Genomic DNA, 16,480 nt, shown 5'->3' with positions numbered 1-16,480 from the left:
GGAAAAATTCTTTTTTCCTACTACCCTCCTACACTCTCTGGCTGGGGCTGTGAACATTGGACTGATCAAAGACAAATTAAAAATAATAAAACAAACAGAAGTTATTAGCACATGCATCATGCTTACACATGGGAGCACTCAGGGTGAGTAACTCAGAGGCTTGATTAGAACATGGGCTTAGATGGCATCTTAGCAAAGGAACAATATATTTTTAGAGAAGTCACAAGACAAAGGAAAAGGACTTTGACTCTCTAAGGTGGCAAATATATGGGAAACTAATGGCAGTTCAAGGCTAATTAGTCAAGTTTGTTTTGCATTTTGTTCTGATGCCCTCTCAGGCTGATTAGGGTCTCAAGTTATCTCTGGTGATGAACTTTTGTCCCTGATAGAGAGGGGAGGAGAAATATCTCTGTAAATTTATGTTCCAAATAGTGAGAGTGATGTACTGAAGCCTGAAAAGGCTTCTTTTCAGTTGCCTTCAGCTCAAAGTAATTATTATGCCAAAGTGTCATATTTTGGGGTGGCATATTCTGCTACCCTATAACATCCTTAGCCCATTTTATAATTGGGTTGTCTTTTTATTATGGAGTTGAAAGAGATCTTTAAATATTCGGGATACTAGATGCTTATCAGATAAATGATTTGCCAATATTTTTATCTCATTCTGTGAGTTAGCTCTTCATTTTCTTGATAGTGTCCTTTGATGCACAAAAGTTCTTAATTTTGATAAACTCCAATTTATCTATTTTTTCTTTTATTACTTGTGCTTTTGGTGTCATATTTTTAAAAACTATTGCCTTAATCATAGGTCTTGAAATTTTTTACCTGTTTCTTTCCAGGAGTTTTATAGTTTTACCTCTTACATTAAATTTTTGACCTATTTTGAGCTCGTTTTTTAATATGATAGGGGTCCAAATTTATCGTTTTGCATGTGGAGGTTCAGTTGTCTCAGAATCATTTGTTTAAAGGACTATTCTGGCTGGGTACAACAGCTCATGCCTCTAATCCCAGTACTTTGGAAAGCTAAGATGTATGGATTACTTGAGCTCAGGAGTCTGAGACTAGCCTGGGCAACATAATGAGACTCTATCTCTACAAAAAATAAAATAAAATTAGCCGGGTGCAGTGGCATGCACCTGTGGTTCCACCTACTGAGGAGGCTGAAATTAGAGGATTGCTTGATCCAGGGAAGTAGAGAATCACTTGAGCCAGGGAACTAGAGGCCGCAGTGAGCCATGATCATGCCACTGCACTCCAGCCTCAGTGACAGAGCAAGATCCTGTATATATATATATAAAAAAAAAAAGAAAAGAGAAAGAAAGAAAGGAAGAGCCTATTCTTTCTTGATTAATTGGTTTTGATAACCTTGTCAAAAATTAATTGACCGTCTGACATATTGGGCTGGATAATTTAAGAAAGAGAAAAAAAAATTAACCATAGAGGTATGGGTTTATTTCCAGACTCTTTATTTGCTTGTGTTGATCTATATGTCTGTCTTTATGCTAGTACCACACTGTTTTGATTAATGTACCTTTCTATTAAGTTTTGAAACCAGGAAGTGTGATTCCCCCAAATTTGTTCTTTTTCAAAACTGTTTTGGCTATCCTGGTTCTCTTGCATTTTTATATAAATTTTAGGTTCAGATTATCCATTTCTCCAAAAAAAAGTGGTTGAAATTTTGATAGGGATTTCATTGAATCTGTGTAGCAATTTGCAGATTATTGCCATCTTAATGTTAAGTCTTCCAACCCATGAACAAAGGGTGTCTTTCCATTTATTTAGTTCTTCTTTAATTTCTTTCAACAATGTTCTATAGTTGCAGTGTTCAAGTCTCATACTTCTGTTAAATTTATTTTTTAATATTTTATTGTTGATGCTATTATAAATGGAACTGTTTTCATAATTAAATTTTTCGATTATTCATTGCTAGTTCCCCAGGAACACTGCACTGAGTTTTGTATATTGGTCTTGTATCCTGCAACTTTGAAGAACATGTTTATTAGCTTTGACAGTTTTGTTGTATATGGATTCTTTAGGGATTTCTGTATAAAAGAAAGATTGTGCCATCGATGAATAGAGATAGTTTCATTCTTTCTTTCCCACCTGGATGCCATTTCTTGCTTTTTCCTGCTAACTGCCCTGACTTAGAACTTTCATAACCTCCTTGTCTTGTTTTTAGGTAGAAAGTTTTCAGTCATTTTTTTTCAGTCACTAAGTATGATGTTAGCTGTGGGCTTTTGTAGATACCCTTTATTGGGTTGAGGAATTTCCCTGCTTTTCTAGTTCGTTGAGTATTTTTTGTCATGAAAAGCTGTTGGACTTCGTCAAACAGCTTTTCTGCATCTATTGAGATGATCATTGTTGTGATTTTCCCTTATTCATTTTTGAGGTCTCTCTTAGGAAAGTGGCTGCAAACTCTAACCCTGCCCTGACAGGCCTCAAAAGCGGGTTGCTGTTTACAGTGTGTTTTTCATGGGATACTTCTTTATTGTGGTGGGAAGCCTCATGTCTAAGATGTCTCGTTCACAGGAAGCTTGTTTATACTGGCAAATGCCCTTGTGGCTCTTGTCTAACTTGTGTTGTTTATTTCTACCAAGATAGCCACTCTCTAAGAGAACTTGACCTGCAAAGAAGTTAGGTGTCAGTCAAGTGAGACACAGAGGAGGCATACAATAAAACACATGAAATTACAGAATCTGTAAGTAATAAAAGTTACAGATCCCAGGGAGAAGAGGGCAGCATGCCAAAGGGAAGTGGGGAGCCATCCAGGACACATGTGTTCAACCAGTGGGTAGGAGCAAAAGAGAGTGAGAGTGAGGGATCTGTGGGCCAAGGCCTTTATTGGGGTCCAGGATATCACCTAAGCAGGTTTCCCACAGGAATTTAATTGGTAGGTTTACAGCAAGCAGGCAGAAGTTCCATGGAATGATGCTGTGACTGAGAGTTGGTTGTTGTGGCGTATATGCACAGTTAGCTCTGCAGAGTGTGGGGGACAGTAGGGTAAATCAAGTAGGTTGTATCTAGCTATCCCATAGGGAAGGTGATGGTATGAAGCAGATATCTAGATGACCACCTTAAGGAACTGGGAGGAGGCAGAGAACTAGAAATTGTATCAAGAGTGACTAAGCCCTGCTTCTGATATGAGAAAATTAAAGGTGTATCCAAAATAGATGCTGAGATAACATAAATTATAAGAGTTAACTATAATCATGTAATTTTTTTCTTTTATTCTATTAATATGGTGTATTGCATTGGTTAATTTTCATATATTAAGCCAACCTTGCATTCCTGGGTAAAACCTGGTCATGGTGTATAATCTTTTAATATGCTGCTGGATCCAGTATGCTAGTATTTTGTTGAGAATTTTTTCATCAACAGTCATAAGGAATATCGCGCTGTAGTTTTCTTTTGTTTGTGATTTCTTTGTTTGCCTTTGGTGTCAGGGTAATACCAGCATCAAAGAATGATTAGAAAGTGTTACCTTTTCTTTATTTTAAAAAGCTTGAGAAGAATTGGTATTAATTCTTTATACATTTGGTAGAATTCACCAATGAAGATATCTAGTTCTGGGTTTTTCTTTGATGGAAGCTTTTGTTGTTGTTATTGATGTTTTTTTAGAGACAGGGTCTCACTTTGTCCACAGGCTGAAGTACAGTGGTGCTATTACAACTCACTGCATTCTCAAGCTCTGGACTGAGGCTGTCCTCCCACCTCAGCCTCCCGAGTAGCTAAGACTACAGGCACACACCACCAAAAATTAGGCCCAGCTAACTTCTAAAAAATATTTTGTGGAGATGGGTTCTTGCTATGTTGCCCATACCGCTATGTTGCTGGTCCTAAACTCCTGGCCTCAAGTGATTCTCCTGCCTCAGCCTCCTAATATGCTGGGATTACAGGCATGAGCCACCACATCCACCTAAAAACCTTGCTTAATACAAATTAGAGCCATATAGAAAGATTAGAACAATCCTCAAATGTCTAACCCAATACCATTAGAGGATATAATGATAGGAAAAGACAAGCTTAGGGAAGTTTGACTCATTTCCAGGGAGGATGGGTCTAAAAAGATACAGAGGAAGCCCAATGTTATGAGCAATCTGCAAGCCAGCAAGTCCAAATGACTCTATAACAGAGAACATCAAGTCAGTAGTCTTGTTTATATCATTGATGTGGTGCTAGAACCATTTTCCTTTTTAAATTTAAAACTGAAATTTGAGATTTTCTTTACATATCCACTCATACATATTTGGCATGCATTCACTTTAAAATTCTGTCATTTTAAAACCAAATTATGTTCGGCTTGGTACAGTGGCTCATGCCTGTAATCCCAGCATTTTGGGAGGCCAAGGCAGGAGGACTGCTTGAGGCCAGGAGCTTGAGACCAGCCTACACAGCATAGCATGACCCATCTCTACAAAAAAATTTTTAAAAATTGGTCAGCCATGGCAGCATGTGCCCATGGTCCCAGCTATTCAGTAGGCTGAAGTGGGAGAATTGCTTGAGTCCAGGAGTTCGAGGCTGCAGTGAGCTGTGATCATGCCATCGTACTCCAGCCTGGGCAATGCAGTGAGACCCCATCTTTAAAATAAATAAATAAATACCAAATTATATTGTTCTTTTTGTTTGTTTATTGTCGTGCATGTGTTTGTGTGTTTTTGTGTTATTTATATGTGTATGTCTGTCTATCTGTGTAGCAAGGAGCTGTACCTCCAACCAGTTCAGTTCCTCCTGTTGCCGGGGCCCCATCGGTTGGACAACCTGGAGCAGGATTTGGAATGGTGAGTGATGACGTGTGCTAAAAATTGTAATCAACATTTCTAAATAATTTGCCAAATCCCAAATTACTAAGTATTCCTACAGAATATAATTTTTCCCAAAACACAGTAAGTAAAACTTAAAAAGTTGTCATCTGCTTTAAACCTTAGGTAGTCTACACATGAAGTGATAAAATGAGTTATAAAATACTTATGTTCTACCATCAAATTAATTTCTATAGTACATTGTTATATCATTTTTGCTATAAAATTTACAAAATATAGTATTAGCCCAATCATCAAAATCAACCCTTCATTATTATACTAGGACTTTTTACTCACCAATTTTACCAGCCAATTTTAGGACCATCTTTCATAAAGAAACAAATTTTTCTCTTTCCAAGAATTATGCTTACAGAAGATGAATAAACAACAACAAAGCTTGGTTGGGATGGGGATACCATGTGGCCAACCAGGCTTATGCTACCCACCCACCTTAGCGACTCTCTCCCTCACAGTACAGCCTCACATTATCCCTAATTAAAATTACAAATTATGCTTCCTCATAGTCCTGGATTCCTCAAATATTGTCAGAAGTACATAAAAGCAATAAATGTCAGGATAGTGCCCTAGTGAGTTCCACTCATGCTCTGAACCACTCTCCATTCTTCCTCCTCAGCCTCCTGCTGGGACAGGCATGCCCATGATGCCTCAGCAGCCGGTCATGTTTGCACAGCCCATGATGAGGCCCCCCTTTGGAGCTGCCGCTGTACCTGGCACGCAGGTCAGTTTCTTCAATGTCCACAAATCAGTGACATTAACTAATAAGTGTAAAACATTGGTGTAGCAAACTGTTTAAAAAGTGTTTTTACCTAATGTAATCCTCATACCTGTTGCTTCAGAAGTAAAGGGAGCTTGGAAGACAGATCTGCAAAAGTGAGATTTGGGGGGGAAAAAGTGATGGAAATAACTCACTGTCTAAAGATCCCTCCATTCTCTTCCTACTTAATTCATATTGGTTCCTGAGAACATCCAGATATTCAGGGCATCCAAGGCATGTGTCCCAGAGAAATGAATGCTTCTGGTCTGTAGTTTTAGTATGTGTTCCCAGCGTTAGCCAGAAAGGTTGGCAGCACAGTCCTCCAGACTGCCATGTCCACCCAAGACTCGTGACACTAACTGCAATAAGTTTGCCAAACTGCAAAGTCTGTGAGAATACTCCCTTTTAGAATCTCCTCACTCCAGACGCAAGACACATATTTGTGAGTCCCCAGGACCACCCCCACTTCAGACTAGCTGGCTACAAATTCGAGGTTTTTCCATGGCCAGGTTAGATAGTTTCCTAGAATGATTCACAGAACTCAGGAAAGTACTAAACTTATAAGAGTTTTATTGTAGTAAAAGGATACAAATTAGATCCAGTTATAGGAAGAGATGCATAAACATCATCTGGGAAAGTTCTAAACATGAAGCTTCTTTGTCCTCAGAGGTGGGTTCTCCTGTGGACATCATCATGTGACAGTACACATGCAGTATCGCAAGCTCACCTGAGCTTCAGCATCCAGCATTTATTGATGCTTCATTATGTAGGATTGGTTGGTTGAATTGTTACCCATTTTGTGGAACTCAATCTTCAACCCCTGTTCCTCCCTGAAGATCAGGCTGGTTTCATGTGGCCCAAAGACCCAGCCCTAAAATCTCATGGTTGGGCTTTCTGCCTCCACTCTGAGTCACCTTGTTAGCATAAACTGTCAGGTGTTGTTCCCAGAGCCCACCTTGAATAACAAAGACATGCCTATCATTTGAGAAATTATAAGGATTTAGAGGTTCCCTTTCTGGGCAAAGGAAAAAACCTCAGTTTAGGTAAAGCTAAATTCCTTACTACACACTGTGCTACTTACCCTTCAAAAATGCCAAAATATGTTACACTTTGTTGAACCGTTTTGCTGCTAGTGGTGCTAGTCTTAGTGATGAATCATGCTTTCCTGATTCCTCTTTTAAATTGTCTGGCCAAGGTGATGTTACATGTAGAACCAAAGAAGTTTTCATCATGAGAAATTGACTTGGATGGGCAGGACACCAAATTACTACTTTGGTAGCAGCATGCTTTACAAACTAGAGCAAATAGCTCAAATATATTTTAATGATATGAGTAAATGTTTTCAGTCCTATAATATTTTTAACTTATCAAATCAGTATTTATACTGTCTTATCCATGGAATACCTGCTGCTGTGAACTTTCTGAGTATACTTTAATCCCTTTTGCTTCCTTGATGCATCTCTAAATCCATTGACCTGTTCCCAAAATTTCCTTTCAGCTTCTTCACTTTGCCCCTCAAAAGCAACAGGGACCAAGAGAAAGAATGGTGGATGTTGAAAGACAGAAATTTAGAATGTGAGAAACCCTAGCCTTCATGGCCATTACTGGCCATAACTGGCTTCAGGAGAAATTTTCTAGTCTATGTGAAGACTGGTGAACCCTGTGTAGTGTTGTTTTTGGGGACAGTCAGGAAGGTTTTGGGTATAATGGTTGAGGTTAGGTATAACTTAGATATACTTAAATTCTAAGGGATCTCATTTATCATAAATATTTCCTTGATGTTTGAATAGTTCCATGACTATCATCTTTTTGAAAAAAAAGAAATATTTCTGTTATTATGCACTTGGAACAATGTTACTGAGATTTCTTTTAACCTTATTGTGTTTGATATACTGAAAGCTTCAGAAATAAATAAATATAATTTTATTACTTAAGGCAGTTGTTTTTATTGTGTAATACCAAAGTTAGCAACAATTTATTTACTTAATTAGAAGAATGAAAATGAAAAATAGATAGTATGATGGGAATACATTGTTTCAATCAGTAATTGAATTCATAATAAGCCAGGTAATGATACACCATATTTATGTAATTTTTAGATTATATTTCCTATATCAGAGAAGAAGCATAATTATACTAGATAATAAAATAAATGTGAGTTTGTAGCTTCAGAAAACAAAGTAGTTTTTTTATTACTGATGCCTGGACTATCGCAGCATTCTTTCATTGGCTGGTATCATGATATTGTCATCTCACCTAATTATCAATTATGGACCAATCTTTGAATTGATTTAAGGAAGTTCAAGCCTTACTTTATTTATATATATATCTCTCTCTATGAAACAGATCCCAGGTTTTTTGTTGTTATTTTTTTGTTTGCTTATTTGTTTATTTGAGATAGGTTCTCACTCTGTTGCCCAGGCTGAAGTGCAGTGGTGCAGTCATAGCTCACTGCAGCCTTGAACTCCTAGGCAACAGGGATCCTCTCACCTCAGCCTCTCGAGTAGCTGGGACCACAGATGCAAGCCACTGTGCCCAGCTATTTTTTTTTTTATTATTTTTTGTAGAGATGAGGCCTTGCCTTGTTGCCCAGGGTGGCCTCGAACTCCTGGCCTCAAGTGATCCTCCTGCCTCGGCCTCCCAAAGTGCTGGGATTTTACAGATGTGAGCCATCACACCCAGCCCATATCCCAGTTTTAAACATGGAAATTTGACAGATAGATAATATAATTAGTCAGTAGTTTCTGGACATAGGACCAAATCTCAAAATCCATACTTCTGGAACTCTGTTCACTGAACTAATAAAAATATACAACACTGCCCCACAGTCCCAGCATGTTACTACAAGCATAGGAGATTAATTAGACTCAAAGCCTAGATGTCAACTATTACTCTATAAACTACATGAGATTTTTCAAGACCTTGTATCCTGTAAAAGTCAGCTCCCAGAAGTTATATCTGTGACACAATGAAAAAATAATTTAGATTCTGGTTAAACAGAAACAAGGCAAGTTAATTATTTGTTACTTTTGCAACAAGTCCAATATGATTCTTTCCTATAGTATTTAATAATTAGTTTTGGCCTTCTCTGAGAGCTGAATAGATTGCATTAGAATTTTAGTGGCATTCACTACCAGGAAACTATTTGGTCATGTGAAACAAACAGTGCCCTCAAACTTGACTGATTTTCACTTAAAATAATGTATATGAAATTCTAGTATATTTAGCTAATAAGTGTAAGTAATTTCTTAAATAGCTTTCTGCAAACCGTTTCCTATTTTTCCTTCAAATTCACTCTCACTACAGGAAAAGCCATTTAAATAGATTTATTAGTTTAGAGGTACTAATGACTGAAAGTAAAAATGCTTTTGTATAGAGAAAACGGTTGTTTGTTTGTTTTACTGTTTGTTCATAATATCTTTATGTTACTAGTGTTTCACATCTTCCCTAAGTCATACCCATATTGTTCTACTGGAGTCCCCAAATTTTACTTTGGCTAAATCTGATGTCAGAGAAGTTCAAGAAAGCCAAATATCAGTTGAAGTATATTTTACCAGTCCAGAATTAAACACAACTCTGTGACTATGTAGAACAAGTAGATTTCATAAGCCTTTAACCATCTAATCTTCTGCAGGTTTGTTTTCTTTGATATGTGTTCTGCCTAATGCTTTTCTCTCTCTCTCTCTCTCTCTCTCTCTCTCTCTCTCTCTCTCTCTCTCTCTCTCCCCCTCTCCCTCTCTCCCCCTGCCCCCTCTTCCCCCCATGTCTCATTCTCTCTCTGCTTTCTATTCCTGCTCTTTGGGGCTGGCTTTTTCCCATTAGCTTTCTCCAAGCCCTACACCTGCCAGTCAGAGTCCCAAGAAACCTCCAGCAAAGGACCCATTAGCGGATCTTAACATCAAGGATTTCTTGTAAACAATTTAAGGTATCTAATATTGAGCTTTTCCTGTAGGCTTGTAATAATGAGCTATACAATGCTTAGCTATTTCAGAGGTACTCATTATTTCTGCGTTTTGAATAGCTGTGTATAATAGTAATAATTTGAGTGTTTATACTTTTAAATTTGATATTAAAAGCTCTCTTTAAGAGTTTTTTAAATCTTAATTTATGTAACTAGGAGGGAAAGTAACCTCCAAATTGTCCTTATCCTGGAAAGCACAACGATTAGCTTTAATAAAGCAAAAAGGTGCCCAAGCTACTTGGTAAATTAGAAAATTACCACTTTATTACATGATGACTTGAATTTATAGAAAGCTAACATTTATACTATTGCATTTAGAAATCATCTAAGAATATATTTGACTGCATAATTGTATTTTTATTTTGTTTATCCTTCTTTTGCCTCATAAAGCTTAGATTATTACCCTTTACATTTCTGCATTCAAGCAGAGTTTTAAATTTCTAATGTTCTAGTTTTAAATTTCACAAATTTCATATAATTTATGAAATGACTCATGCTGAAGTTATGGAAGGAAACGAATGAAGGAAAAATGTTTACTGTTGACCCCAGCACCTAACACAGTGGGTAGGTTCTCAACAAATCCTTGCTGAATGGATGAACATAATTTACACGGTACTTTTCACATCCACTTCTCAATAGAACAGTCATGTGAGATAAACTATCCAGATATTTTTTGTCTCCATTTCACAGCTAAAAGAACTGATCCTTGGGCATTAAGGAATTTGCCCAGGGTCCCACAGGGAAGAATTGTAAGAGGCTCAGTGTTTTTGGACTCTTGTCCAATGTTGTTTTCAGTATGCACCTGCTGTGCTACATATATTTCTTAAAACCCTTCCCTAATGTCTACTAAGATTTTTGTGGATTCTTGATTTGTTTTTTTTTTCTTATACAAGATTAATGATGCATTATTCTAAGGTATTAACATCTCAGTCAAGTAAACTCTCCTTATGCCCAACTTTTCTATTCCACTTTGGATTGGCTAATGTAGACATAAGTGAGACAATGAACACTTAATAGTTTCAGGAGTGACCAAGGAAACTGCATAGAGCAGCCTGTATTCACCTCTTACTTAGTAAATGTTGCCCTAATCATATGCCAGGAACTTTGATAAGTACAGGAAACAGATATGCTTGAGACAGTCCTTGCCTGAGAGAGACAGAGACAGACAAAGAGAAAGAGAGACAGAGACAGACAAAGACAGAGACACAGAGAGAATTACTATTTTATGAAGAGTTATCTATGCGGCTAAGCCTTAAGACCCCACAAATGTTTCCAGCAGAAATGAATGATGCATGAATTAGCCAGGGAGATGAGTGGGAAGTGGCTGAGGAAAGGCATCGGGTCGCCAGGGATCTCTCTGTTCTCTTCTATTCTGTCACTGGTTCAGCTGTTTAGAAAGTGACTCATTGAACACCATAACTGAATACATGAAAAAATAATGTAAGGTCATTGCCATGCCCCCTTTTTCTTTAGCTGCCCTTTTTAAAGGTTGGCTGCTCTTAGATACTGAATGCTATACCGAATGTCCTGCTACTAAAATTTCTAATATGTATCTAAATTCAAATTTTTGTTGATATAATTATTATCTAAAATGAAACTATACATCAAAAGTTTTTTTTTAATTTCTGGCTAAACTTTAAAAATTTTAAGCTTGTTTTAAAGAGCTATGAAAAGTATGTAAATTTGAATTTGTCCATGCAGAGACCTTTTTATGTAAAAGTTGTTTTCAGAAACTATGAAGTAAAATTGCAAGGGAGGTAAAATGTTTGAGGACTATGTAATAATCTTGTTTTCTAATTCTAGTTTTTGTTTTCTTTACAGCTGCAATATTTGTGACTGAATAGGAAAATAAATGAGTTTGGAGACTTCAAATAAGATTGATGCTGAGTTTCAAAGGGAGCCACCAGTACCAAACCCAATACTTACTCATAACTTCTCTTCCAAAATGTGTAACACAGCCGTGAAAGTGAACATTAGGAATATGTACTACCTTAGCTGTTATCCCTACTCTTGAAATTGTAGTGTATTTGGATTATTTGTGTATTGTACGATGTAAACAATGAATGGATGTTACTGATGCCGTTAGTGCTTTTTTGGACTTCACCTGAGGACAGATGATGCAGCTGTTGTGTGGCGAGCTATTTGGAAAGACGTCTGTGTTTTTGAAGGTTTCAATGTACATATAACTTTTGAACAAACCCCAAACTCTTCCCATAAATTATCTTTTCTTCTGTATCTCTGTTACAAGCGTAGTGTGATAATACCAGATAATAAGGAAAACACTCATAAATATACAAAACTTTTTCAGTGTGGAGTACATTTTTCCAATCACAGGAACTTCAACTGTTGTGAGAAATGTTTATTTTTGTGGCACTGTATATGTTAAGAAATTTTATTTTAAAAAATATAAAGGTTAACGTCCATAATAAATACTTCTCTTTGAAGCTACCTTATCAAGAACGAAAAATCGTATGGGAAGAATCCCCTATTTATCACTGCTATATTAAAATATATATATTTTAATTATATTTGACAGGTTTTGCATCTAAATTGACCTATTTATTCATTCTTGATTAAATGCACTGAAAAGTAAAGGGTCTGTTTGTGTCATGTTCATGAAAATGCGGTTAGAGAGGTGCTATTCAAGTGATTCTGAAGGCACCCCAAGGTATATCTGTAATTTAAAGATTACTGCAAATATCTTTACTTTACTGTGGGTTTTTAGTACATCTGTTAATTTAGTGTTTCTTTGTGTGTTTTGTAGACTAGTGTTCTTCCATCCTTCAACTGAGCTCAAAGTAGGTTTTGTTGTAACATTGTGATTAGGATTTAAACTAATTCAGAGAATTGTATCTTTTACTGTACATACTGTATTCTTTAAGTTTTAATTTGTTGTCATACTGTCTGTGCTGATGGCTTGGCTTAAGATTTTGATGCATAAATGAGGTCACTGTTGATCAGTGTTGCTAGTAGCTTGGCAGCTCTTCATAAAAGCATATTGGGTTGGAAAGGTGTTTGCCTATTTTTCAAATTATTTAATAGATGTATGGTACCATTTAAAAGTGGTTGTATCTGAATTTACTGTGGGGATAACATACACTGTAATGGGGAAAAATTACCTAAAACCAATTTCAAAATGGCTTTCTTTGTATTTCAGTTTAAAAACCCAGTGCATGTACGCCCTCTGAGATGCAATAAACACCTTGAACAAAGAAATGCAAACATAACGTTTCTCTCTTTGATTATGTTTGGGAAAAAGGTCTGTTTCAAATGACACACACAGCAGACAAAATACTGAAGATTTTAAAATGCTGTTCATGCCAATAGAGTTTTGATTATTTTATAAAAAATTAAAAACAAGGAAAAAGAGCAACTTTAACAAGCCTTCATTAAACTTGGGTCTCTGTAACTGCTGCCAAATGAGTTGAAATTCCATATTTCAAAATGTATATGTATTTTTATGGTGAACTTTCTTTTATTTATTTTTTTAATTGTACTTTAAGTTCTAGGGTACATGTGCACAACGTGCAGGTTTGTTGTTACATATGTATACATGTGCCATGTTGGTGTGCTGCACCCATTAACTCGTCATTTACATTAGGTATATCTCCTAATGCTATTCCTGCCCCCTCCCCCCCACCCCACAACAGGCCCCGGTCTGTGATGTTCCCCTTCCTGTGTCCAAGTGTTCTCATTGTTCGATTCCCACCTATGAGTGAGAACATACGGTGTTTGGTTTTTTGTCCTTGCGATAGCTTGCTGAGAATGATGGTTTCCAGCTTCATCCATGTCCCTACAAAGGACATGAACTCATCCATTTTTATGGCTGCATAGTATTCCACAGTGTATATGTGCCATATTTTCTTAATCCAGTCTATCATTGTTGGACATTTGGGTTGGTTCCAAGTCTTTGCTATTGTGAATAGTGCCACAATAAACATACGTGTGCCTGTGTCTTTATAGCAGCATGATTTATAATCCTTTGGGTATATACCCAGTAATGGGATGGCTCGGTCAAATGGTATTTCTAGTTCTGGATCCTTGAGGAATTGCCACACTGACTTCCACAATGGTTGAACTAGTTTACAGTCCCACCAACCGTGTAAAACCGTTCTTATTTCTCCACATCCTCTCCAGCACCTGTTGCTTCCTGACTTTTTAATGATTGCCATTCTAACTGGTGGGAGACGGTATCTCATTGTGGTTTTGATTCACATTTCTCTAATGACCTGTGACATTGAGCATTTTTTCATATGTTTGTTGACTGCATAAATGTTTTCTTTTGAGAAGTGTCTGTTCACATCCTTCCCCCACTTTTTGATGGGGTTGTTTGTTTTTTTCTTGTAAATTTAAGTTCTTTGTAGATTCTGGATATTAGCCCTTTGTCAGATAGCAAAAATTTTCTCCCATTCCCTAGGTTGTCTGTTCACTCTGCTGATAGTTTCTTTTGCTGTGCAGAAGCTCTTTAATTAGATCCCATTTGTCTATTTTGGCTTTTGTTGCCATTGCTTTTGATGTTTTAGTCATAAAGTCTTTGCCCATGCCTATATCCTGAATGGTATTGCCTAGGTTTTCTTCTAGGGTTTTTAGGGTTTTAGGTCTTACGTTTAAGTATTTAATCCATCTTGAGTTAATTTTTGTATAAGGTTTAAGGAAGAGATCCAGTTTCAGCTTTCTGCATATGGCTAGCCAGTTTTCTCAACACCATTTATTAAATGAGGAATCCTTTCCCCATTGCTTGTTTTTCTCAGGTTTGTCAAAGATCAGATAGTTGTAGATGTGTGGTGTTATTTCTGAAGCCTCTGTTCTGTTCCATGGGTCTATATATCTGTTTTGTTACCAGTACCATGCTGTTTTGGTTACTATAGCCTTGTAGTATAGTTTGAAGTCAGACAGTGTGATGCCTCCATCTTTGTTCTTTTTGCTTAGGATTGTCTTGGCTATGCGGTCTCCTTTTTGGTTCCATATGAAATTTAAAGCAGTTTTTTCTGAATTCTGTGAAGAAAGTCCATGGTAGCTTGATGGGGATAGCATTGAATCTATAAATTACTTTGGGCAGTATGGCCATGTTCATGATACTGATTCTTTGTATCCATGAGTATGGAATGTTTTTCCATTTGTTTCTGTCCTCTCTTATTTCCTTGAGCAGTGGTTTGTAGTTCTCCTTGAAGAGATTCTTCACATCCCTTGTAAGTTGTATTCCTAGGTATTTTGTTTTCTTTGTAGCAATTGTGAATGGGAGTTTGCTCATGATATGGCTCTCTGTTATTAGTGTATAGGAATGCTTGTGATTTTTGCACATTGATTTTGTATCCTGAGAGTTTGCTGAAGTTGCTTATCAGCTTAAGGAGATTTGGGCTGAGACGATGGAGTTTTCTAAATATACAGTCATGTCATCTGCAAACAGAGACAATTTCACTTCCTCTTTTCCTAACTGAATATCCGTTATTTCTTTCTCTTGCCTGATTGCCCTGACCAGAACTTTCAATACTATGTTGAATAGGAGCGGTGAGAGAGGGCGTCCTTGTCTTGTGCCGGTTTTCAAAGGGAATGCTTCCAGTTTTTGCCCATTCAGTATGATATTGGCTGTGGGTTTGTCATAAATAGCTCTTATTATTTTGAGATCCATTCCATCAATGCCTACTTTACTGAGAGTTTTTAGCATGAAGGGCTGTTGAATTTTGTCAAAGGCCTTTTCTGCATCTATTGAGATAATCATGTGATTTTTTGTCATTAGTTCTGTTTATGTGATGAATTATGTTTATTGATTTGCGTATGTTGAACCAGCCTTGCATCTCAGGGATGAAGCCCACTTGATCATGGTGGATAAGCTTTTTGATGTGCTGCTGGATTCGGTTTGCCAGTATTTTATTGAGGATTTTTGCATCAATGTTCATCAGGGATATTGGCCTAAAATTTTCTTTTTTTGTTGTGTCTCTGCCAGGTTTTGGTATCAGGATGATGCTGGCCTCATAAAATAAGTTAGAGAGAATTCCCTCTTCTTCTGTTGTTTGGAATAGTTTCCAAAGGAATGGTACCAGCTCCTCTTTGTACCTCTGTAGTATTTGGCTTTGAATCCATCTGGTCCTGGGCTTTTTTTGGCTTGATAGGCTATTAATTACTGCCTCAATTTTAGAACTTGTTATTGGTCTATTCAGGGATTTGACCTCTTCCTGGTTTAGTCTTGGGAGGGTGTATTTGTCTAGGAATTTATCCATTTCTTCTAGATTTTCTAGTTTATTTGCATAGAGATGTTTATAATACTCTATGATGGTAGTTTGTATTTCTGTGAAATTGGTGGTGATATCACCTTTATCATTTTTTATTGTGCCTATTGGATTCTTCTCTCTTTTAATTCTTTGTTAGACTGGCTAGCAGCCTATCAATTTTGTTGATCCTTTCAAAAAACAAGCTCCTATATTCATTGATTTTTGAATGGTTTTTCGTGTCTCTATCTCCTTCAGTTCTGCTCTGATCTTAGTTATTTCTTGTCTTCTGCTAGCTTTTGAATTTGTTTGCTCTTGCTTCTCTAGTTCTTTTAATTGTGATGTTAGGGTGTCGATTTTAGATCTCTCCTGCTTTCTCTTGTGGGCACTTAGTGCTATAAATTTCCCTCTACACACTGCTTTAAATGCGTCCCAGAGATTCTGGTACATTGTGTCTTTGTTCTCGTTGGTTTCAGAGAACATCTTTATTTCTGCCTTAATTTTATTATTTACCCAGTAGTCATTCAGGAGCAGGTTGTTCAGTTTCCATGTAGTTGTGTGGTTTTGGTGAGTTTCTGAATCCTGAGTTCTAATTTGACTGCACTGTGTTCTGAGAGACAGTTTGTTACGATTTCCATTCTTTTGCATTTGCTGAGGAGTGTTTTAGCTCCAATTATGTGTGCAATTTTAGAATAAGTGCTATGTGATGCTGAGAAGAATGTATATTCTGTTGTTTTGG

General features: G+C 36.9%; 1 protein-coding gene across 70 annotated transcripts in view; it reads left to right on the top strand.

Annotated features, from left to right (window-relative positions):
- The window catches only part of SNAP91 (synaptosome associated protein 91), a 156,509-nt gene extending 143,752 nt beyond the window's left edge, over positions 1 to 12,757 (top strand). For 66 of the 70 annotated variants that reach the window (NR_164843.1, NR_164844.1, NR_164846.1 and 63 more), the window contains 4 exons: positions 4,695 to 4,778; positions 5,434 to 5,538; positions 9,397 to 9,499; positions 11,357 to 12,757. Coding sequence is in view for 66 of the 70 variants with exons in the window: in NM_001242794.2 (NP_001229723.1) it covers positions 4,695 to 4,778; positions 5,434 to 5,538; positions 9,397 to 9,489 (282 nt within the window). In the remaining 4 variants the exon portion in view is untranslated. Of the gene's footprint in view, positions 1 to 2,597; positions 2,699 to 4,694; positions 4,779 to 5,433; positions 5,539 to 9,396; positions 9,500 to 11,356 lie in introns of all 70 variants that reach the window. The other 4 variants (NM_001376740.1, NM_001376712.1, NM_001376737.1 and 1 more) reach the window with 2 other exon arrangements.
- The last annotated feature ends 3,723 nt before the right edge of the window (positions 12,758 to 16,480 follow it).

Source organism: Homo sapiens, chromosome 6, assembly GCF_000001405.40.
Source record: "Homo sapiens chromosome 6, GRCh38.p14 Primary Assembly".
NCBI classification, from domain to species: Eukaryota; Metazoa; Chordata; class Mammalia; order Primates; family Hominidae; genus Homo; species Homo sapiens.
Note: the sequence above shows the minus strand (reverse complement) of the source record. Positions and strands in the feature narration are given on the sequence as shown.